General features: G+C 43.0%; 1 protein-coding gene across 50 annotated transcripts in view, besides 2 other annotated features; it reads left to right on the top strand.

The window, feature by feature from the left end:
* UBR4 (ubiquitin protein ligase E3 component n-recognin 4) overlaps window positions 1-23,880 on the top strand; it is a 135,757-nt gene that overhangs the window by 42,882 nt on the left and 68,995 nt on the right. For 6 of the 50 annotated variants that reach the window (XM_047416500.1, XM_047416463.1, XM_017000822.3 and 3 more), the window contains exons 29-57: window positions 154-363; window positions 1,628-1,729; window positions 2,036-2,136; window positions 2,388-2,586; window positions 2,944-3,132; window positions 3,558-3,621; window positions 4,774-4,965; window positions 5,488-5,558; window positions 5,649-5,796; window positions 6,238-6,468; window positions 7,104-7,274; window positions 9,388-9,570; window positions 10,460-10,618; window positions 10,962-11,114; window positions 11,717-11,944; window positions 12,307-12,467; window positions 13,431-13,617; window positions 13,883-14,084; window positions 14,909-15,072; window positions 15,526-15,742; window positions 16,592-16,808; window positions 17,590-17,622; window positions 18,759-18,822; window positions 19,258-19,392; window positions 20,385-20,559; window positions 21,279-21,362; window positions 21,452-21,592; window positions 22,478-22,599; window positions 23,294-23,405. In XM_047416500.1, coding sequence (XP_047272456.1) covers window positions 154-363; window positions 1,628-1,729; window positions 2,036-2,136; window positions 2,388-2,586; window positions 2,944-3,132; window positions 3,558-3,621; window positions 4,774-4,965; window positions 5,488-5,558; window positions 5,649-5,796; window positions 6,238-6,468; window positions 7,104-7,274; window positions 9,388-9,570; window positions 10,460-10,618; window positions 10,962-11,114; window positions 11,717-11,944; window positions 12,307-12,467; window positions 13,431-13,617; window positions 13,883-14,084; window positions 14,909-15,072; window positions 15,526-15,742; window positions 16,592-16,808; window positions 17,590-17,622; window positions 18,759-18,822; window positions 19,258-19,392; window positions 20,385-20,559; window positions 21,279-21,362; window positions 21,452-21,592; window positions 22,478-22,599; window positions 23,294-23,405 — 4,415 coding nt within the window. The remainder of the gene's footprint in view (window positions 1-153; window positions 364-1,627; window positions 1,730-2,035; window positions 2,137-2,387; window positions 2,587-2,943; window positions 3,133-3,557; window positions 3,622-4,773; window positions 4,966-5,487; window positions 5,559-5,648; window positions 5,797-6,237; window positions 6,469-7,103; window positions 7,275-9,387; window positions 9,571-10,459; window positions 10,619-10,961; window positions 11,115-11,716; window positions 11,945-12,306; window positions 12,468-13,430; window positions 13,618-13,882; window positions 14,085-14,908; window positions 15,073-15,525; window positions 15,743-16,591; window positions 16,809-17,589; window positions 17,623-18,758; window positions 18,823-19,257; window positions 19,393-20,384; window positions 20,560-21,278; window positions 21,363-21,451; window positions 21,593-22,477; window positions 22,600-23,293; window positions 23,406-23,880) is intronic. The other 44 variants (XM_047416520.1, XM_047416483.1, XM_047416519.1 and 41 more) reach the window with 15 other exon arrangements.
* Window positions 5,435-6,634: an enhancer, noted in NCBI's record as "BRD4-independent group 4 enhancer chr1:19487245-19488444 (GRCh37/hg19 assembly coordinates)". NCBI's record gives its function as "activates an origin of replication core promoter dependent on BRD2, P300/CBP, MED14 and CDK7 cofactors, and independent of BRD4, by STARR-seq in HCT116 cells {active_cell/tissue: HCT116}" and the evidence as "EXISTENCE:reporter gene assay evidence [ECO:0000049][PMID:35650434]".
* Window positions 10,163-11,362: an enhancer, noted in NCBI's record as "CDK7 strongly-dependent group 2 enhancer chr1:19482517-19483716 (GRCh37/hg19 assembly coordinates)". NCBI's record gives its function as "activates an origin of replication core promoter dependent on BRD2, BRD4, P300/CBP, MED14 and CDK7 cofactors, with strong dependence on CDK7, by STARR-seq in HCT116 cells {active_cell/tissue: HCT116}" and the evidence as "EXISTENCE:reporter gene assay evidence [ECO:0000049][PMID:35650434]".

Here is a 23,880-nt window from a genome sequence, read left to right as displayed (position 1 = left end):
AAAATAGCTATCATGGGAAAAAGACTGGAATAAAGGCCCTTGCGCAATTCCCCTTCCCCTCTTCCCCGGCAAGTAATTGAATTACCCTGTCCTTGCTTTGCAGCTTTTTGGAGGAGTGTATTCACTAACTCGATTTCATTTTCTTTGCTGAAGTTGGTCAGATGAGATGAACCCACCACAGGTAATTCGGACACTGCTACCTCTTCTTTTGGAATCAAGCACTGAGAGTGTTGCCGAGATCAGTAGCAACTCCCTGGAACGCATCTTGGGCCCTGCTGAGTCTGATGAGTTCTTGGCTCGTGTTTATGAGAAGCTGATCACTGGTTGTTACAACATTCTGGCCAATCATGCAGATCCTAACAGGTGAGCCTGATGGAGAACAGTCAGGTTTCCTATGACCTACTGCTGCTATCAGTGAAATGTACTAACACTGCTGCCTTTAGGTCATTAATAGCTTATTGTTTTTGTGTGTGGTTTTTTTTTTATTCTGAGACATGGTCTCGCTCTGTCGCCCAGGGTGGAGTGCAGTGGGGTCACTGCAACCTCTGCCTCCGGGGCTCAAGCAATCCTCCTACCTTAGCCTTCTGTGTAGCTGGGACTACAGGTGCATGCCACCATGCCCAGCTGGTTTTTTTTTTTTTTTTTTTTTTTTTTTTTTTTTTTTTTTTTTGGTAGAGATGGAGTTTGCCATGTTGTGTAGGCTGGTCTTGAACTCCTGAGCTCAAGTGATCCTCCCATCTTGGCCTCCCAAAATGCTGGGATTACAGGCGTGAGCCACCACACATGGCCAGCTTATTGTTATTTGTGTTTTTCAACAGAAAATTCTGTACTTGTGTGCATTCTGCATTAATGTGGAAATGTGTGAAGAGTTTTTTGGAGTCGTTTTTTGTGATTAATTCTTAGGAATAGACATTAAGAAAATGGAAGACTTAGATGTTTAGATTTGGAGACTTAAAATTGTTTTTAATGACTATCAAGTGCTGCACTAGCTCTGATGAGATGGACAGAGGAGCTCACTGAAATTGATTTCTAATATTTTGTTGACTGTGCTGCTGAAATGAGTGTGGAATGGGCGGTCCCACAGCATAGCTGGACCTTGGTAGTTTAGGCCACATGGCTGTAGATGAGCTGTAAAGAACAGTTCTGTTTCACTTTCACCCCACGGAGAATTGTACAAATGAAGGTGCCACATGTTGGAATTTCCTGTCTCTTCGTTGTTGAGTAGTCCAGGTTTTCATCAAGGATTCCTTTTATTCCCTGTCTCCTCTTTTCTTTTTAACAGATAAATAATTTCAGACACTTTTAGCTGTGTAGAAATGATTTGTCCAAAGTGTCTTTTTCCCTAAATCACTGGCAGATCTGGATTAGGACTGAGCTTTAGATGCCTTTCCTGTTCATCTTCCTAATGAAGAGGATAGAAAAATAAAGTTGAGGGGCTGCTATTAATTCAGTAAACATGTATTGAACACCTACTTTGTGCCAGGCTTTATGTTAAGCTTTGCCAAAACAAAATTAGACATTGCCCTCAAGGTCAAACAGACAAACTTTGGATTTTAATAAATCACCATAAGGAGGACATTGAAACAGGTCTTAATACTGGTGGTTAAGTTTTCCGTTTGATCCTCAGTGGACTGGATGAATCCATCCTGGAGGAATGTCTCCAGTACTTGGAAAAGCAGCTGGAAAGTAGCCAGGCTCGTAAAGCTATGGAGGAGTTTTTCTCTGACAGGTGAGCCGTGTTTTGCTTTATTCAGTGAATATTTTTTGAATGCCTCTTGAAAGCAAGGAGCTATATATGTTGATTTAGGTACTTATTATCAGCAATATTTAAGGCCTGGTTAGGTGTCTGCACTTTGGGGAGTTAATTGCTGACTCCTTGGGGTTGTTGGTGAGGGGGTTAATTTCATGAACACCTTGTGCTATTGACTCATAAGTGGTCATTTTCCCCAGAGGAGATGAGATTGTGAAGAAAGGATGCTTTTTATGTGGGGCTTTAATGTGATTCTTTCCATTTTTCTCCCATCTTGCCTCCCAGTGGAGAACTTGTACAGATCATGATGGCAACAGCCAATGAGAACCTCTCTGCTAAATTCTGTAACCGAGTTTTGAAATTCTTCACCAAACTCTTCCAGCTGAGTGAGTGACAGCTTTTAGTAATCTTCTTATGGGAACTTTGATGTCCGGCTAATACTGTGCATATCTTCTGCCTGAGTTTAACTACAGCATGAAAATGCTAACGAGTGGAGAGAATCCCTCAGAGAAAGTTTGGAAGGAAGTTGAAAACTTGCTTTGAAGCCATTTCCCCTTTTCCTGGCTCAACAGTTTGCCCCTTCTTTCTCTTCCTCTTGCCCTTCTTTACTGACCCTGGCCTCTTGTTCTGCTCCTAGCTGAGAAGAGCCCTAACCCGAGCCTGTTGCATCTCTGTGGCTCCCTGGCACAACTGGCCTGTGTGGAACCTGTGCGCCTGCAGGCCTGGCTCACCCGCATGACTACATCGCCCCCAAAAGATTCTGATCAGCTGGATGTAATTCAGGAGAACCGGCAGCTGCTGCAGTTACTGACCACATACATTGTTCGGGAAAACAGGTAGAACAACTACATTTCTGTCGTGTTTCCCTAGCAACCCCAGAAACACGTTGATATTTGCAGTTATCTTTCCTTCGGGCACCAGTCTTAGCATTCTCAGCATTTTTGTATCTACCTCTCTCTAGACTCAAGGATTCTAGTGTAGCTCCTTGATTTTTTTCCCATGGAAAAACTTTTGGAATGACTTGGCCTGTCAGTTACAACCTGAATGAATGTTTTATGCTCTACTAGCCCAAGTCCAAAGCTGGGATTGGTATTGTAGTTATGTATTTAATGTTTAATTTAAAACTTCCTTTATAACACACAGAATGAGATTCCTGTTGATTATTCACCAACTTGCTCTTTCTTTTCTCCTAGCCAAGTTGGGGAAGGTGTGTGTGCTGTTCTTCTGGGCACCCTGACTCCCATGGCAACAGAGATGCTGGCCAACGGTGATGGGACTGGCTTCCCTGAACTTATGGTTGTGATGGCCACTCTGGCCAGTGCAGGTCAAGGTGCTGGTCACCTTCAGCTTCATAATGCTGCTGTGGATTGGCTGAGCAGATGGTAAGATGATGAAGTTGTATCTGTAGGTTACAACATTGATCTTGAGAAGTGGGTTACTTTCTTTATAGCTCAAAGTGAGTACAGAAGAAATTTGAATCTCTACCCTTTCATTGGAGTTTGGGAGTTGGGTGGGTAGCAAATAGCTCTGTTCACTTTAGACTTCATCTTCATCATTTTCTTAGTAGAGTTTCCTGTTCATTGTTCCCAAGATAATTCTTGGGGAAAGTATGCCAAGTGTTAATGATAATTCTAAGGCCAGAGCACCCCAAGCTATGTAACTATATAGTACTTATGGAGTTTTCTAAGAATGCTTCTGCTTCACAGTGTCCTCAGATTGATTCAAAGTTAATGAAGATGCCTCATTTCGTTGGTTTCTTCGATGATTTTGTGTCTCCTCTTTCCCCTCTTTTTTTTCTTTGGGACAGCAAGAAATACCTGTCACAGAAGAATGTAGTTGAAAAACTGAATGCCAATGTAATGCATGGAAAGGTAAGAAAAGTGAGGAATGACAATGGGGGGTGAAGGGAAAGGTGATTCTCACCTCTGTGGTCAGGTGGAAGTCTCTCGTTCCTATTGAGTTCTGTGCCTGGCTAGCCTACCAAGGATAAGGCTGATAATCTCAAAGACTGGAAATATGTAGTTGCTAACTGTGTGCCTTTAGGCATGTTTTGGCTGGCAAGAAGTGATGGGAAGGAAATATACTGGTAAATAAGCAGACAGAATCTTTCTTAAAACATAGAGTTCCTGCCATCCTAAGATATTGGAATGTTATGGGAAACTGTCTCCCTGCTCAGGCTTTGGAACTGTGCCACTCTGAGTCAGTGTTATAAAAGGCCAAATACAGCCTCCTCAGCTCTAGTCCAGATGCTAAGCTTTGTTTAATTTGCCTGAAGGTTCTGGTTACTCTGGTAAGAAAAGCGGTTTGAAACTGACAGAAATCCTGCATTCAGGCATTTTCTCCTCCTGCCCAACCCATGAACTGGCATAGGTGGCTAGGAACAGATAACTAGCTTCTGAGAACCACTTTGGTACCATTCATTACTCCCTCCTTTTTTGCTGATCTTTATCCTTTCAGCACTGACATGTCAGAGTGCAGAGCAAAGGAACTTAGAAATCTGAGTCTTTGATGCCAATTAATTGGGTTTTCTAGGCAAGCATGAACTATCTGCAATGATTTGCTAGAATTTTTTTCTCTTGATTTCTGAAGGTATTCCTCTCCTGCATTACTTTAAAGCCTGATAATTAAAATGACTTTCACTTAATGGTTAAAAAATGCTAATGTTAGGGGGGAAATGCTAATGGGAGTCTCTTCATACTCTAATCTGGTCTTTTCTTGAATGATTTTAATCAGTTTTTACTCTATTCTTCTAATTTCAATCCTACTTCATCTTACAAGACTTTGTAAAGAGCTGTCTTTGTGCCTAAGAATGAATGAATACATGTTACTTCAGTACAATTTACTGACCAGCTACGTGGGGACGGAGTGGTAAAACCTGGTTAATAAATAAAAACACACTGTTTTTCTTCTCTGCTCTCATACCATTTCTCTGATCTTGAGCTTTATTTGAAAAAGCTTGAGAAAACATGGTTTACATAATGAAACATGGAGAATCTGAAGTTGCTGTGGGGCTTCTCTTACAGCATGTGATGATCTTGGAGTGCACATGCCATATCATGTCTTACTTGGCTGATGTCACGAATGCCCTGAGCCAGAGTAATGGTCAAGGCCCAAGTCATCTCTCAGTGGATGGGGAAGAGCGGGCCATTGAAGTAGACTCAGACTGGGTGGAGGAGTTGGCGGTGGAAGAGGAAGATTCCCAGGCTGAGGATTCAGTAAGTACTAAGTAACCTCGAAGTTAACCTCTCAAGGTAATGACTAACTGGCATGGTACCAAGCTTTTGGCTCTGTTTTCCAGCCTCCTGTGAGCTTCAAAACTTCCTAGTCCTTGTTGCTGCCAGGCCCCAATTTTCTAGGCCTTCAGAGCAAGGCATGGGGATCTAATCTCTTGTGGAAAGGACTTTTTCATAAGCTTTTTCCAGAGTCACTTGTCCTGCTTTGTCAGTCTTTAATTCCAAATGGAATTTTAGGGATAAGTTCTTCATGGGGGGTAGTGGAAGCTCCCCTATAGAGAAAGCATAAGATGTTTTTTCTTAACCACAAACCCCTAAGATCTCACTCACCTGAAGTAACAACAGATTTTCAGCCAGCTAGCTATTTCCAGTTGTGGTAGATTTCCACGGGTCATTTGCGAGTCAACTATTCACCCCGCCATAGGGCGTTGAGGCACATGTGTTTTTGTGGGTGTTTATATGCAGGGATATATTTCGAATTAAAAAGACTTATTATTTTTGAAGGATGAAGATTCTCTTTGCAATAAACTCTGCACTTTTACGATCACACAGAAAGAATTCATGAACCAGCATTGGTAAGGGTAGTTCTTCCTTTAAGGTGAAGATTTGCTGGGCACCGATTGTTGGGACTTCTGAGCTTATTTGCTGGTTCTTGTTCTTTGTAGGTACCACTGTCACACCTGTAAAATGGTGGATGGCGTGGGTGTCTGCACAGTGTGTGCTAAGGTGTGCCACAAGGATCATGAGATTTCCTATGCCAAGTATGGATCCTTCTTCTGTGACTGTGGAGCCAAGGAAGATGGCAGCTGTTTGGTGAGAGGACCCTCCCTGAGCTATAAAGGGTGGCTTGTTAGTGACACGGGATTACTGAAGCCAAACTGGAAAATTCCCATCACCTCCAGGATACCTGAGTCTAGGAATATGTTCCAGCTCACTCATCGATGATCTGCACAGTTGTGGCCTAAGGACTTCATTTAGAATATCAGAACCAGCAGATTCCTTAGAGATCTTGTAGTTCGTTTTTCCTAAGACCTCCCCACAATTTCACACGTTATAATAAGGCCTGATACTGTGAGTGGGTAAAGAAGTTAGATATTAGGTGAATACTATGAAGATCAGAATTTAGGCTTTTGGATAACATTGAAACGCTTAGCCAGTTTCTTCTTTGGGTCAAATTTTCCTCGGAGATCTCAGGCAGTATTTCCTCTGTGCTTGAGGCAAGAACTTAGGGACTCTGACATTTTCTGTCCCTAGGCTCTGGTGAAGAGAACTCCTAGCAGTGGCATGAGCTCTACCATGAAGGAGTCGGCATTTCAGAGTGAACCCAGGATTTCAGAGAGTCTAGTGCGTCATGCCAGCACCTCCTCGCCAGCTGACAAAGCCAAGGTTACCATCAGTGATGGAAAGGTTGCTGACGAAGAGAAGCCCAAGAAGAGCAGCCTCTGCCGCACAGTAGAGGGCTGCCGGGAGGAATTACAGAACCAGGTGGGGCTGACTGATGCTCCCTAGTAAGCAGACAGAGTTCAGAGCCTGTTGAATTGGTGTGAGAGTAAATAATGCACATGGCTCCCCTTGCAACTCATTTTCTCCTTTACCCATTTTCATAGTGTGAATGCAAATACTATGTATTGTCGTCACGAGGGAAGGATTTATGACTGAGCACTATTAGGAGTATTATGGGGGGTGATGGAAGCATAAATTTTAGTTGTGTCATACTGTAGAGTACCCTTTCTTGGCCAGGGTTCCTTATCTGAAACACAGAAAACAAAACGATTTGAGTGTATATATTCTCAATTTTCCCATGGATGGTACAAAACCCAAACCATTCTAGAAACGTAAGAGAGAAGTTAGCTCATTTCATATGAGGGATGCCTTTGCGCATTAGGATATCTATGTGGGACCCCTGGTTTAGAAAGATTGCTCTGGAGTTAGTACCACAAATGCATATTGATTGGAATCAATGCCAGGATTATGAGAATGAGAAGATGGCTAGAATATCCAACTGGAAGTGAAGTAGCTGGATTCTGAAGGAAGTTACTGGCAAGATGATTTTTACAAGTATTATCCATTGTTTTTCTTTTTTTTTTTTTTCACTGGTGTATTTTTTCTATTTTTCTCAGGCCAATTTCTCCTTCGCTCCTCTCGTGTTAGACATGCTTAATTTCCTTATGGATGCCATTCAGACCAACTTCCAGCAAGCTTCAGCCGTCGGGAGCAGCAGCCGTGCTCAGCAAGCCCTCAGTGAGCTACACACTGTGGAGAAGGCAGTGGAGATGACAGACCAGCTGATGGTGAGTGTCTTGGGGCCATGATGTTTGGTGGCTGTGGGAACCAACAAATTTATTGAGATCCCAAAATGTGCTAGATGCTCTGAGGAGTATACTTAGAGCAGTTGATGCTTGGCCATCCAAAACTTAGAATCTAAGACATCATGACATGCCCAGAACATATTATGAACAGTGTGAAAATCAGCATACGAGGTTTGGCTTCAAAAGAAGAGAATTGGCCAAGGATGCACCTATAATCCCAGCACTTTGGGATGCCTGAAGCAGGTGGATTGCTTGAGCCTGGGAATTTAAGACCAGCCTTGGCAACATGGTGAAACCTCATCTCTACCCCAAAAAACACACAAAAAATTTAGCTTGGCATGGTGGCACAGCAACTATAGTCCCAGCTACTCGGAAGGCTAATGTGGGAGCATCACTTGAGCCCAGGAGGTTGCAGTGAGCTGAGATCGTAGCACTGCACTCCAGCCTGGGCGACGGAGTGAGACTCTCTCTCAAAAAAAAAAAAAAAAAGGAGTGGGGCTGGGGAATCCAGGGTCATTTTGGCCAATGAAGAGAATAAATCTCCTTTTTAGTTCATATAAATATATGAATCTCCAAGAGGTGGGGAACTCCATTTTGGGGCAATTAGAATAGTTAGAGAATTTTTATTTTTAGAAAATAGAACTTTATTGTATCTTCTCTAAAGTTCATCTAACTTACAAAATAATGTTTGTCCTCTTTTGCATATAGTCCTTTAGATAACTTTCCTTTAGTTTTTCATGTCACATGGGTTATAAGGTATAAGTCATTATTCACTTTAAAACCTGCTGCTCAGCACTGAATATAGACTTCTGATGTGGCCTTCCTGGCCTTTTTTAGCAGCAGAGTTAAGTAATAGAAAGTAAAGTGGTGGCGATTCCAAAAAGGAAGTGAACAAATATTGCGAATGAGATATATGAATAGATCTCATAAATTGGCTTTCTTTTTTGGAGATGGAGTCTTGCTCTGTCACCTAGGCTGGAGTGCAGTGGCATGATCTCAGCTTACTGCGACTTCCGCCTCACTGGTTCCAGCGATTCTCATGCCTCACTCAGCCTCCTGAGAAGCTGAGACTGGAGGCATGCACCATCATGCCTGGCTAATTTTTGTATTTTTAGTAGAGATAGGATTTCACCATGTTGCCCAGAATGGTCTCGAACAACTGTGCTCAAGTGATTTGTCCACCTCAGCCTCCCAAAGTGCTGGGATTATAGGTGTGAGCCACTGTGCCCAGCCAAAGTTGGCTATTTTTAAGGGAATAATAGTCAGTTGGAAATATACACATACATACCCATATATATTCTGGCATTTTATTAAAATCAGTCACAGTTTTTGCCAGGTGCAGTGGCTCATGCCTGTAATCCCCACACTTTGGGAGGCTGAGGTGGGCAAATCACTTGACCAGAGGAGTTCGGGACCATCCTGGGCAACATGGTGAAACCCTGTCTCTATAAAAAATATACAAAAATAATTAGCCAGACATGGTGGTGCATGCCTGTGGTCTCAGCTACCTGGGAGGCTGAGGCAGGAGGATTGCCTGAACCGGGGAATTCGAGGCTGTAGTGAGCTGATATCACATCACTGCACTCACCACTGAACTCCAACCTGGGTGACAGAGAGAAACCTTGTCTCAAAAAAAAAAATGAGTCACGGTTTTATTTGATACTCTTGGAATTAAAAGAAGTCGTAAAATCAGTCACACTTTTAGAGCATTGGTTTTTAGATATTAAAGATGAAGTGAAAAAATACTTGGGTTGGGGGCCCATAAAGTTGCTGATTTTTATGTTGCCAGGTTAGATCAATGAAAACAAATGTCATCTGTCACCACAATTTGTAAGAGATTGGACATTTTAACATTTTTTTAAAAGACCAGTACTTTGTATTTAAGTTTAGCTTTATGAAAACATTTACTATGTTATTCTTAATGGATTGATAATAACTTTAACACATTTACACAGCCATCCACGGTTTGGAGGCCGAAATCACTGCTTTTGAATGACTGAATTGTGCAGTGTCTCAGGCACATGAATAGTGCGTGAATCCACTTGATTTTATTTGCCTCATTACTGCCCACTTTCTCTGCTTCCTTCTTTGCCAGGTTCCCACCTTAGGGTCCCAGGAAGGTGCCTTTGAGAATGTGCGGATGAATTACAGTGGAGACCAGGGCCAGACCATCCGGCAGCTGATCAGTGCTCATGTGCTCAGGCGGGTGGCTATGTGTGTGCTCTCCTCTCCCCATGGGCGCCGCCAACATTTGGCTGTCAGCCATGAGAAGGGCAAGGTGGGTCCTCCAATTCTTGTGCGCTTACTTTAGGTCATATTGTCTTAAATGCTAAGCAAAACAAATTGATGACCACATTCGGATTAGCCCTCTGTGGGAAAAAGTCCACTGCGTTCTAAGAATGCTTCAGGGACAGATCTTGTTGAGCTTTTCAAATACTTGAACCCTGAATTGATTTGATTAGACCTAGAGCTGGTATGACTAGGACTGTTCCTAATTAGTAAATTTCCACTCAAAACGTATTCTTCAAAGCCCTCAGGAAAAAGTAATGATTAGCAGTTACCGAGGACGGCTTGGCTCCCAGTCTTGCCCTGTTTGGTCACTCTGGCGGGCATAAGCTGAGAGACAAAAGTTTTCATAGGAACACTCAGTGTTGCTTATGTAGTGCTGCCGTGCCATCCCAGCTCTGTTAAGCACATAAGTAAGTTTGTATTGTGTTATAGAGCTAGTAGAAGTTGGAAGAGTGCTAGGTATCTTAACTCACACTTTTCTGTATTCTGGCCTCTCCATCACCACTAATGTTGTTTTAACTTTTATTTTAAGTGAAAATATGGATAGTCCTTCAAACAACTCTAAAATCATTTTAAAAACAGTTTCCTAGAAAACTAGAAAAGGACAGTGGTACGTAGGTATTCTTAAACTATTTTGTGAACTATATAAAGAGAAATTGTTTTCATTACTTACCTGTTCTGTCCTCCATGGAAATACATTCCATAGCTTTTAGCCAGGAGTAATAGAGACTAATACTGATCTAGGATTTTCTACTAGACTTATCTGTAAAGAAAAAAGTGTGCAACCTGTTATCCCTATTGAAAGAGTTTTTGTTACTTGCTTTGACTTCTCTGAGAGGACCAGGAGTAGGAATAAATTAGTCATTGTTCCTTTGCAGATCACCGTTCTGCAGCTCTCTGCACTCCTGAAGCAAGCAGATTCCAGCAAAAGGAAGTTAACTCTGACCCGCTTGGCTTCTGCCCCAGTTCCTTTTACTGTGTTGAGCCTCACAGGAAATCCCTGCAAGGAAGACTACTTGGCGGTTTGTGGGCTAAAGGTAAAAATCCGGATCTAGGTTTGATTGCCTTGAGCTGTGGATTCTAGTCATTTTCTCTCCCCTGTTCTCAGAACTACTTTTTCTTATTCGTTGTGGAGATTAAAATTTAAAACCTACTGAAATGCAAAAGGAATTTTTCTTTGAATTTCTCCCAGATCTTTCAGATTTCTCCAATATTGGAAGTAATCTTTGTGTTCATGAAACCTGAATGTTACTAGACAGTCTAAATACTGTCTGAAGGCAGGGGATATTAGAGGAAAAAAGGGAACGTCATTACTCTGAAATGAATTAGCCCACTTTTCAGATCATCTTTTCACCATTTTGTTTCTTAAACATTGTCCAGGACTGTCATGTGCTCACCTTTAGTAGCTCAGGCTCTGTTTCGGATCACTTGGTTTTGCACCCTCAGTTGGCAACGGGGAACTTCATCATCAAAGCCGTGTGGTTACCTGGTTCACAGACCGAGTTAGCAATTGTCACCGCAGACTTTGTTAAGGTACAGTTACAGTTCTTTGATGATATGGTCCTAGAATTTTTCTACTTTTAAATCCAGAATCACTATGTGCTAGCTTCTCCCAGGAGTTAAAAAAATCAGCTGGGTGCCATGACTTTCACCTGTAGTACCAGCTACTTGGAAGGCTGAGGTGGAGAATTACTTGAGGCTTAGTTCAAGGGTGCAGTGAGCTGTGATCATGCCACGCCACTCCACTCCAATCTGGGTGATAGAGCAAGACCCTGTCTCTAAAAATGATAACAAGCCATATTTTGTCACTTTTGCTATGTTGCTGAGTAGGAGCTTTCTGTCTTTAGGCAATAGGGAATTGATTCTGGTTCTACCCTCACTGTACCAAGTGCACACCTATTACCATACTTGTTTCAGAATTTATTTATGTATGTCTGTCCCCTACTCATTCCTTGAAGGAGAGTGAAAGGTGTTCTGTTCATCTTTATAAGACCAGTGCCTAACACTCCATTTTTTTACTGAATGGAGAATGAATGCCTGTTATTGGTCAGTTCCGGCTATTTGGATTCACTAAGATATTTGGGGGATGGGACTGAGATAGATTTCCCTTATTTAATTTTTCTTCCATCCTGCAGATTTATGACCTGTGTGTTGATGCCTTGAGTCCAACCTTCTATTTTCTCCTGCCAAGCTCAAAGATAAGAGATGTTACCTTCCTTTTCAATGAGGAGGGAAAGAACATCATTGTTATAATGTCTTCGGCTGGGTACATCTATACTCAGCTTATGGAAGAGGCCAGCAGTGCCCAGCAGGGACCCTTCTATGTCACTAATGTGTTGGAAATCAATCATGAGGACCTGAAGGTTAGAGCACATGTTGCTATTTCCTTCTATTCCGGATTTAATTATTTAGCAACTCCTCTATTCTTTTTTCTTTGTTCTTTTATAACATTTTTCTGTGGACTTCATCTAACTGGATCTTTTTTTCTTTTTCTTTGTTTTTCCATCTAACTTTCTACCTAATAGCAAACTCTCTTATCCTTTAGGGCTAAATTAATTCAACTTCAAGTTCCATTTTTCTCAGGGTCTTTGTAAGATTTACCCACAGGGATCTCATGCTTAGAGTATGAGAGCACCTGATCATGATTGAAAATAATAACCAGTATAAACCGGAAGTTGGTAGCCAAGGCAACATGAATTACTGCAAATATGTGTCTTTGTGCCAGCAGGACAGTAACAGCCAGGTGGCGGGCGGTGGTGTGTCCGTGTACTACTCCCACGTGTTGCAGATGTTGTTCTTCAGCTATTGTCAAGGCAAATCATTCGCAGCCACCATCAGCAGGACAACCCTGGAGGTGTTGCAACTCTTCCCCATCAACATCAAAAGGTGGGAATGAACATTTAATGTTCAACTTCCGCAATGTCCACATTCAATGTGGGATCTCCACTCCCACTATCTGCTATCTGTTCTGAGTTTTGTGAAACTTAATTTTCTCCAGCCAACCTTTTTTTCTCCCCTGCTAGGTATCTTTAAAATCAAGGAACATCCGGGTTTGGCAGGTTGGGTTGTCTGCACGGTTTGTCCTCCACTGTGGAGACCCCAAGCTGTCAGAGGTAGTTTAGGGGTCCACTGTTACTCAGAAGGAAAACCTATAGTTAATGTTATAAATGTGATTTTAATGTGAGAAGGGAACCTAAATTTCTCTTAGACACTCATTCTGCCATAATGCCCTTTAAGTTTTTCTCCTGGGGAGACTTACTCTGTTAGCAAATAGAACGTATCAGTAATGGGGGCATGGTTGGATATGGGGGAGGAAGAGACTTTCAACAAGTTTGCAAATAATAGAGGGGTGTGTAAGGTAGTGAGAGTTTCATTTAGGGAGGAGGAAGAAGAGGCTTATGGTGTCTTCCCTTGTTTCTTATCTGCCATTGATGACCCATTGTAGCACTTTCTCTCAGACCTTTCTTTGGGAATTACATGGTTTGGGATGAAATAAAATGGATACCAGTTCACACTAACTCGATGTGTTTGGAGATCCTGATAGGACAATGGGTCATTAGCCTTAGGCAGCTCCATGGCCCTCTGCAGTTGATAGCCTCTAGGCACATAGGGCCACCTGTTCTTCGGACATGGAACCTCACAGTGGAGACTCCAAATGAGGACTGCCCTGCCATAAGCACGCATTGGGGTGTATGAGCATGTGTGCATGGCTTGGAATAAAACTAACCTGTGGATAATCTGAGTCCCTGGCCAAGGATATTGCTTTGGAGTCACGTAGCCAGTTAGAGGATGGTTTTTAGGTCAAGAAAAGAACTATTAAATGGTGACTGACACTCTAACTGTGGCCAGTTTTGTTGTCTGCAGTTCCAATGGTGGCAGTAAGACTTCTCCTGCTCTTTGCCAGTGGTCTGAGGTGATGAACCACCCTGGCTTGGTGTGCTGTGTCCAGCAAACTACAGGGGTGCCGCTGGTAGTTATGGTGAAACCAGACACTTTTCTTATCCAGGAGATTAAGACTCTTCCTGCTAAAGCGAAGGTCAGTGCCAGATTTTCCCATTCATTACTTTGCTGTGAACCTGGTCTCTTTTTATGTTTGTATATTCATTTCACTTTCCCAGCTCTTTCAATGGAGGCCCATAAAAGATTTTCAGTCCTTTTTCTTCTAGATGCCTTTTCTTTGCCACCCTTCTGTACAGCCCCTCAACTGACCATGAAACCAGTTGCATCTCTGCCTCTTTTTCTGTGAGGATGCTGATCTGTGGGTGTGGGAACGAAGACCCTCCTTTGTCCTCTCCTCCTAGATCCAAGACATGGTTGCTATTAGGCACACGGCCTGCAATGAGCAGCAGCGGACAACAATGATTCTGCTGTGTGAGGATGGCAGCCTGCGCATTTACATGGCCAACGTGGAGAACACCTCCTACTGGCTGCAGCCATCCCTGCAGCCCAGCAGTGTCATCAGCATCATGAAGCCTGTTCGAAAGCGCAAAACAGCTACAATCAGTAAGGCTCCTTCTCAGATGACTTGTGGGGGAGTAGGAATGGTGGTCTTCTAGACAGTGACTCAGAATAGACTGTTGAAAATATCTGTGAAGAAATGTGACTGTCCTACTTGCACATTTTGTAAAGTTAATTTCCCAAAAGCAGAGTTATGTTTCCAAATGTCAAGCACCCATTGGCTGCCTGTTTCAGGCCAGCAGTTCTTTGGTGCCTAGTAACGAGTTATGTCCTGGACCTTATTTGAGAGATTGTTCTCTCTAGGTTTAGGAGAATGACTTCCCTGAAGAACTGATTGAAGTATAGACCTCTTCAGCTGGTTAATTTCCCACTGAGTAGTGAAGAGCCCACCACAGGTCTCTGAGCTGGTGGTCTAGCACTTGACTGACTCAGGACTCTTCAGGAAAGTGAAAGCTTGAGTTTAGCAGTGAGCAAATCCAGCTAAGCAAAGACCATTACAGGGATCATCACATTACCTTAAATTTGCTCTACAGTCTATTTTGAAAGAATGGTTTATTCATTTACATTCATTAAAGAAGTAGCTCCTATTGTTTATTTTAAATAACCCAGTTACAGGAGAGCCTATTGTTATTAGCTGTACACCCAATACCAATGCCAGATTTCTTGGTATTGCTAGGACATGTCATAGTTAGGGATAACAACCATTGGAGAGCTAACCACATGTAGGCATCATGCCGATGCAAATGTTATAATCCAGAGTTTGCTTAGATTAGAGTGTGAGTGTGGGCTCTGTCTGGGAGGAGTCTTTACCAGTGGTGTTGGGGCAGAGGTGGGAGAGACTCTTGACGATCTGGTACCGTTCTCTGCAGCAACCCGCACGTCTAGCCAGGTGACTTTCCCCATTGACTTTTTTGAACACAACCAGCAGCTGACAGATGTGGAGTTTGGTGGTAACGACCTCCTACAGGTCTATAATGCACAACAGATAAAACACCGGCTGAATTCCACTGGCATGTATGTGGCCAACACCAAGGTAAGAATGGCACTGGGCTGGGATCAATCCCTGGGTAGAAGGACTCAAACAATATGGTTTGAGAACACATCTCCTTTTAGAAAGCAAGTATAGAGTATATACTCACAGTCACAACCCTCGGTTCTAGTTAAATGGTTCCTTAGAAAAATGGATATTCTTACTCACTTGGCAAAGGACTTGTACAGGTTGGGTTTCCACCAATACCAGCAGGATTACTGTGTAGAGGACATCAAAGAGGTGGTTAATACTGGGGAGAAGGAAGCCTGACATTGAAGAGAATCTGCTCTCTTTTCCTATTTTCCCATTTTTAGAAACAAGGAAGTCATTACCAGGGAGTTAAAAGGATAAGTTTTAATGAGCTTCACATGTTGAGACAATGTCAGAGAAGAAGGAGTCCTAGTTAAAACTTAAGAACTTCTGTAGTTTCTTGATGTGTGCCTTGTCTCCCTACAGCCCGGAGGCTTCACCATTGAGATTAGTAACAACAATAGCACTATGGTGATGACAGGCATGCGGATCCAGATTGGGACTCAAGCAATAGAACGGGCCCCGTCATATATCGAGATCTTCGGCAGAACTATGCAGCTCAACCTGAGTCGCTCACGCTGGTTTGACTTCCCCTTCACCAGAGAAGAAGCCCTGCAGGCTGATAAGAAGCTGAACCTCTTCAGTGAGTCACCAACCCCTGGTGCAGACTCTGTCCTCATTGTGACTGCGAAATTGGGAGCCACTGGCCTGTGGCTGTCCAACATTCTGGGATCTCTCCACTCTGCTGATTTTTCTGTCCTTTCATCAGGAAACTTTGAGCTTCATTTGATGTATTAAAGAGGCAAGGTGACAGGAAAGGAGTACACCGGAGCATGGTAGCAGTAAAGATAGGGCTGCACTGTGTTGAGTATTCATTTCAATAGTGTTGTGTCCACCTCACTAATGGGGCTACTTCTGTGTTTAGGCCGAGAGGAGGCAGATTGACATGAAATTGCAAGGCTTTCTTAACGCACAGAGGAAGACCTCAGGTCACACATGGCTGAGAGATGGTTGGCAATGGCTTGCTATGCCACTGAAAACTAAACTCTCAGAATACAAATCCTTGAGCCTTACTCAAGACTGCATTTCTCTGTCATTTATTGGCCACTGTCTGATATTCTTTCTTCTAGATATAGTTGCTGTTAGTGTGAATGATCATGATCTGTACTTTGAACAAAGAAAGTGTGTAGAGACCCCTGGGAGTGAGGGGTAGGGGATACAATACTCTGAAGCAGAAGAGGACCCTTGCAGTGATGGTTAGGGACTCTTCTGAGTAGGAGACGTAATCGGCTTTTGGTCCATGGAACTTTTACCACATGTATTCAGCATATATACACGATTAAAGTGCTGCAAATATCTCAGAAGATAAAGTTTCTCTATGTCTATAAAATTGACGTGATTTACTTCTTTGCTCCAACTGTTCTGGTCTTTGCTTTGGAGGGGTGGCTTTTTAGAGAATGTGCTTCCTAAAGGCCTCTCTTGCTTATTGCAGTTGGGGCCTCGGTGGATCCAGCAGGTGTCACCATGATAGATGCTGTAAAAATTTATGGCAAGACTAAGGAGCAGTTTGGCTGGCCTGATGAGCCCCCAGAAGAATTCCCTTCTGCCTCTGTCAGCAACATCTGCCCTTCAAATCTGAACCAGAGCAACGGCACTGGAGATAGCGACTCAGCTGCCCCCACTACGACCAGTGGAACTGTCCTGGAGAGGTACCAGTGCTGGCAGGGGTTGGCTTCAGTTTTTACATATTCCACTCACTGCAGAACCTTCCTGTGTCTTGAGAGAGCCAGCTTCTAATAACCATCTCAAGGCTAGCCTGGAATTTTTTTAAGTTTTCATACAACTCGCCCACATTCAGTGTCTCTTTAGCGTGCAAAGCCTGAAAAATGTGCTCAGAGTCATCTGACACCAGAGTCTCTCCCTGGACAGAAGTTCTGTCCCTTCTCTTAATAATGCTCAGGTACCCTTTAGAGTAGCCAGAGGCCACAGGCTAGACGATGCTCAAGCCAGTATTCTAGATTAGGATCCAGGCTTGCTGAAATGATAGGAAAACATCCTCCCTTCCATTCTGAGCTCATCATCTTTTCATCATCTTTCTCTGCGTAGCTACTTCTGTGATAATAACATTGCCAGCAAGAGAGGCTGTCTGCTGCCTCTTGTAGCAGAGTCTAGAGTTTCCTTAAGTCTCCCTACAGTGGCATATTCTTAAGCATTGTGCTTGGCTTCTTTGTGCTAGGTAGCTGCTGGTTTGCCATGGTAGATGAAATATTATAATTCATGATGTAAGATTTTGAGTTTCTTACATTGTAAGTCACAAGAATAGCCTTGCTTGGAATCACTGCCTCCCACCACCAGCCTCCTCCCTCCCTTCCTTTCTCTTTCTTTTTCCCCGATGCCCTATCCATACATGGTTTGCTTAGGATGTGTTTCCGGGTTTCTCTGAGCTTCACATTTTTTTCCTTTTTTTTTTTTCTTTGCTTCTCCCCCAAGTTCTGAAACTGAGTCCCTAACCAAGCTGGACCGGTTAGTATGCCCTCTTTCTTTTCTCTGCACGAGTGAGTGTGTGTCAGAGAGCCGTGTAACCAATGGTGTGGCTTTGCATTGATTCTGCTTCTGTTGAAGAGTCTTCCTGCTTCTTTCTGTTCTGGTCATTGCATGGCTACAGAGCTGTCCATGTGTAAAAATGGAGTATATGGAAGATCGTAAGTGCACTCTTGGTGTTGGCCATGTCGGACACTCTCTCAACTCTCTCTTCCTTACCCTAGTCCTCTCTGCTCCCTTTCTAAGTGGATGAAAAGGGGGTTTGGGGTAGAGGGATTAACAGCAAAGTCCTACCATCTGATAACCCACTAGAGAGCTCGTTCTATCCAAATTTGTTTTATGCCTCAGTTTCCTCTTCCCTAGTTCTTTATTGCCTTCCTCTACCCCTTAACCCCTTTCTTTCCAGTTACCTTCTGAATACTTTTCTTTCTCTGTCCAGAGCTTCAGCTGTCAGGATGTTGTTCTTTTTACTATGCCACATTAAATTGAAAGGAGTAAACCCTGGGGAGCATGTTACTTGGTACCTTTAATAGTAATAGTTGGGTTTCCTATTCCTTTCCTAAGGGGAAAAGTTTTCTAAAGATGCTTTGTATTTACCCCTTGAATGTTGGCAATTGGCATGCACCTAAAAAATAGTTTGTTCTCTCCCCCATACTTGGGACTCCTAGGAAATGCCTTTGTGCATATATAGCTTTAAACTTTCCAATATAAGAGGATGGTTTTTACCTTTCCCTTTGTGTGTCCTTTTGCCCACTGATCTCTGGGCAGCTGAGCTTTGGGTCCCATTGCATCAAGACTGTTAAGCCCATCTCAGTGATCCCTGCCACAGGCAGCAGAAGGAAGCACATTTATCCTCTTTGAGGAAGAAAAGCCCTGTCTTTGAGTTACGGATTACGAACATGGCCTCAGGTTGATCTCTGAGCAGGAGCCAGGTTTCTCCTGGCCTGTAACGTAGGAAACGATATGCATGGTGCCTGTGGCAGGTCTTATTGTGCTTTGATTTTGTATTTGGCATTCATTAGCTGTCCCCAAGGTCCTCATGACTATAGTTTGCTTAGGCTAAAGCGCAAGGCGGAGAGAACGGTGTTGTACTCAAGCCAGGTTTTCTGTCTCCCCAGGCTGGTTGTGAGTTCTTTAGAAGCCCTGGAAAGCTGCTTTGCCGTTGGCCCAATCATCGAGAAGGCAAGTCACTTTTTCAAAGCACATGGAAGCTTTCTGAAGAGGCAGGAAGTCAGTGGAGTTGCCCGAGGCCCTGAGGCCTCGAAGCTAAAGAACATTTATAGTAGCATAATCTTGATTTGCTAAGAAGCTCCAGAGAAGTCTTCAGCTTAAGGCCTATGTCCTACTTTTCGGGCCCATAGTGAGCGTGTGTCACAGAATAGGATGCGTGTTGGTACAAGAACACTGTTCTGGGAATCATGAGCTTGGATTCCATGTCTTCCTCTGGTAAGAAGGAGGATTATAATTTCTGAAACTTTTTTTTTTTTCTCTTTGCAGTCCATGGAGCATAACCTAGCCCTGGTGGCCTAGAAGGAAGGAAGGGCAGGCAGAGTGTAGATAGTTCATTCTGCCTTGAGTTGGTGGGGTTAGTGATAACCCTGCTGTCTTTTGCCTTAGGAGAGAAACAAGAATGCTGCTCAGGAGCTGGCCACTTTGCTGTTGTCCCTGCCAGCACCTGCCAGTGTCCAGCAGCAGTCCAAGAGCCTTCTGGCCAGCCTGCACACCAGCCGCTCGGCCTACCACAGCCACAAGGTAACTGTTCTCTCAGGGAAAGGAAATTGCAGTGCTGACAGGGAATCAAATAAGTTAGCTTTTCATTGTAAAGCAACAGCACAGCAAAGTAAGGTAGAGGGAGGATAGCATTCAGATTAGACCTACATTTTACAGAGTTTCTCCTGAGAAATTCTCAAGTGCCACTCAAAACCGAGGGTAAGCCAGTGACTGGGCCCCTGGTTTGTACTTATTTTTCTGTCACTCTAACAGGATCAACAAGACTTAAGAAAGAGAAGGAGGGATATTGAGCGTGGGTAGCCTTCTCGCTGGAAAAGGGTGAGGTGAGGGAGTCCCTCAGGAAATAGACTGCTAGTGTTTTCGCTCCCTCAGGTGTGGCACAGCACGAGAAGTGTACTGTACTTGTTGGTGAGACAAGTGTTGAATAGTTCTTGGAGTGCCTCTGATGGGAACATCTGGGGAAAGAGGGTATCACTTATAAAAGAAAGGCATTGCCAAAGGAGACAAACTGGGCCAATTTCTGTAGATGGAAAAGATGAGAGTTCAGACCCCTGAGGAGGAAGGCTCTGAGAGGAGCCATCAACCCAGAGCTTTGGTTAGCTTCTGTGCCTCCAACCCGGAGAACTGAGAAATGTGAGTTTAACCTGCTGTCTCTCAAGGAAAGACAATTTTGGAAACACTGTCCTTGGGTAATATGAATTTGCTAAGAAATGACTCTTCTATTGTAAGAGAAAGAAATCTAGCAGTTCTGGAGAACTGAGTAGATTTGAATTTTCCCATCATACTTTGATACTGCAGGGTTTTTATTTTTTAATGACATTAATATTTTATGTATTAAGAAACTTAACTATATGAGGCTGCTTTGAAGATCTGTTGTAGGTGATTGGTGTTCATTGGCCTGTTCTCTTGAGAGGAGGTAATAATCCTGGTGATCTGCCAGCTTTTCTCTCCTCTTTGCTTTTGTACCCAGCTCTTGCTTATGGCTGACCCTCTGTGCTCCTGTTGTTTTACAGGATCAGGCCTTGCTGAGCAAAGCTGTGCAGTGTCTCAACACATCTAGCAAAGAGGGCAAGGATTTGGACCCTGAGGTGTTCCAGAGGCTAGTGATCACAGCTCGCTCCATTGCCATCATGCGCCCCAACAACCTTGTCCACTTTACGGAGTCAAAGCTGCCCCAGATGGAAACAGGTGAACTTGGCCTCTGTGGCCGTGGTCCTGAGATCTGCTTCATATGCCTATTTACCCTCTCATTCTTACTGTTCTTACTGGCCTCTGACTGACTGCATGCTCAGAGACAGGGATTTTGCTTCCTGGTCTTTATACCTTGTAGGGCCTTTTGACATTGAGATTGTACAATTTTAAACACATTCTTTTTCCAGTGCTTATACTTTCGATTATCCTTGAGTTTATTTAGTGTTCTAGACATCAGATATAATCTGTCTCTGAAGTTATTACCTCTTAGGAGCTTCAGGGGAAAGCTAAGCTTGGTTGGGCCCTGGTTGCTTTAAAGCAACTATGGCATATCTTTCGCTTTCATGCCATTCTTTTGCCAGTGCTATTATTAATAATGTGTAGCAACTTTCTCAGTGCTCAGTGCTGTTTCCTCATCTCCTCTTCTGTTGGCTGGGTAGCAAACCTGTTTTGTCATTGTCAAATTGAGTTGATTGCTGCCTTTACAATTCTGTGTTATTTACATGCTCCCATATGCATCATCATTCTGTTCCTCCTTTTAATACTACAATCCCAGAATTGTTCTAGAGAGATCTCTAGAATGTTCAGATGTTCCTCTACGTTTTAGAAGTTGAACAGTTGGAACTGAGATCTTTGAATCTGCGGTAAACATCCTAAATGCTCCCCGTTCTACTTAATTCTAACATACAATGTTTTCTGCGATATTCCTTTCCCAGACTGTTTTTTTCCTAGATGTGCCTGCTGGAGTCTAGGGATAGTTGGCATATTGATTGGGGCCCCACTTGAAACTCCCTCCCCAGGCAAGCTTCCTTGACCTGAGTTAACCTTAAAACAAATTAAATTCCATCTCAGATTTACCATCGTTGATAATTTTCTTTCTCCTGCTTAGAAGGAATGGATGAAGGGAAGGAACCGCAGAAGCAGTTGGAAGGAGATTGCTGTAGTTTCATCACCCAGCTTGTGAACCACTTCTGGAAACTCCATGCATCCAAACCCAAGAATGCCTTCTTGGCACCTGCCTGCCTTCCAGGTATGTTAAAAGGGATATTTGAATCTTGGTAATGAAGCCTGATGTAAGTTCTGTCTTTGAACAGCTATGACCGTTAGCCATTAGCTTTCATTCTTCATAATCCATTTCTTCCAGAACTCATAATTGGGAAGTAGAAGTCTGCGAGATAAATGCAATGTTCCTGAGACAGGAATTTAGCAGTGTGGCAGAGTGGGATTTTCTTCTACCATATCTTTTCATCGGGGTTGAATATTTTACATAAAGAGGCACTGTGTGTGTGTGTGTGTGTGTGTGTGTGTGTGTGTCTCAGTGGTTTATAATTGTTTTTAAAAATCTTTGACAACTTGGCTTAAAGCCAGCTCAAAAGGCACAAGTATCTTGAGGATTATTCTATTTCTAAGCTATTTGGTCTCTAACTTCTTACACTATTGAAAATTCAGATGGAAGAGTAAAGGGTCTGAATAGCAATATAGAAAAGTAGGATGATCCTGGTGCTCATTCATGTTTGGAGGACATTTGGGTGGTAAACCTAAAAGGCAAGTCAAGGTCATGTTTTGTCATCACCTGAGGTTGGGGGATATTAGGGAACATTTAGTATCTGCCTTCCTCTTCATATTTCCTTGCCTTGTCTTTTGATATCCAGAGAGAGTGGACAGCTACTTATTTCTGTGACTCAAGATATCTGGAAAGACTTTTGAGGACAATTTGGGAGTTTAGGAAACTGTTAATGAAACAAATCATAAATAATACAGGCTACTGTGTGTGAATGAGTGTGTATGTGAGTGTTTGTCATTTTGTTTGCATGACCTTTTACATGGAGATAAAAGGTTACACTTTTGTCTCAGACTCTCAAGTAGTTAGAGTTTTTTCCTCCAGATTTTCAAATAATGTTTGTCTCTCCTTTAGGACTAACTCATATTGAAGCTACTGTCAATGCTCTGGTGGACATCATCCATGGCTACTGTACCTGTGAGCTGGATTGTATTAACACAGCATCCAAGATCTACATGCAGATGCTCTTGTGTCCTGTACGTAGCATTACAATCCCAGAGAGCTCGCAGCAGCCAGGGAATATCTGGAAAATTGTTTTTAGCTTGCTAAGCTAATGAAATAAAATATATTTAGAGGAAGCTGAAGGGAATGAAGTTTCAAATATCAATAAAAGCTTTAAGATCTTACTCCATGGAAGAGAAAGATTTGGAAAGGGGATGGGCTCAGTCTTTCTTATTCAGTGCTGAATCACCAGGGACAGCCTACTGCTTGCTACATAGTAAGTGCTAGGTAACTCGGTGAATTGTGACTTAAATGAGCACATGAATGAAAGTAGTACATCAAGATTTCTATTTCCAGTGACCCTTTCACAGAAGCTAAGTGTTAAAACTACTGATTTTAGCACAGAGCTAAGACGTGCGCTGGGGGCTTGATCATCTGATAAAAAGCCAGAACCATTTGTAAGGGGCCAAAATGGCCTCAGGAGCAAATGACCTGCCAGTCCATCCCCAGGAACTGAGAGACAGGAGGTTAGCGAATGGCTCTTAATGTGTGCCAGAACAGGAAGCGGGGATTAACTTAACCTGCTGAACTTGGTCCGCTGGGTTGCAGGTGAGAGTAGAGAGGTATTCCACTTGCATGTGAGTGAGTGACCAAGAAAGGAAAGTGTTTTATAGAGAGTTTCATGAATAATATGAGAGCAAAGCGTGACAGTTTCCTTTTAAACCTCAGGATCCTGCTGTGAGCTTCTCTTGTAAACAAGCTCTAATTCGAGTCCTAAGGCCCAGGAACAAACGGAGACATGTGACTTTACCCTCTTCCCCTCGAAGCAACACTCCAATGGGTAATATGAGGTCTGGGTTTAGGCTCAAGCCTGTATTTGGGAGGAGGGGAGAGAGGGAGGTACAGTAGCATTGGGCATGCTGCTCATGTTGACCAAGGTCCTGGAGACTTTATGTATCTGTCTTTTTTCTAATCCTACCTCACCCCATAAAGAATTTAGGTGGCACATCAAAATGTATATAGTAAGTAGGATAAAAATAAAGATTAAAGGCCATGGGAAAATAAAAGTACCATAGTAAAATCAAAATACAGAAAATTCACATCACAAAGGTCCTGCATGGTTGGTAAGCGAGGGTCTTATATTTGGCTGAAAGCTTCCTAAGAGCCATAGCAAAAATAAAATCACAGTGACCAAAGACAAAACAGAAACATAACTTTTCTTGGGATAGAAGCTCTTCATTAAATGTCCATTTTGTTGCCAAAGGGGCAGAATCCTTAGTGGACTTACCTACAATAAGTTGGATAGCAAATTTCAC

The sequence above is a fragment of the Homo sapiens genome, chromosome 1, assembly GCF_000001405.40.
Source record: "Homo sapiens chromosome 1, GRCh38.p14 Primary Assembly".
Classification (NCBI taxonomy): Eukaryota; Metazoa; Chordata; class Mammalia; order Primates; family Hominidae; genus Homo; species Homo sapiens.
The sequence above is the reverse complement of the archived record's forward strand: the minus strand, read 5'-3'. Positions and strand labels throughout refer to the sequence as shown.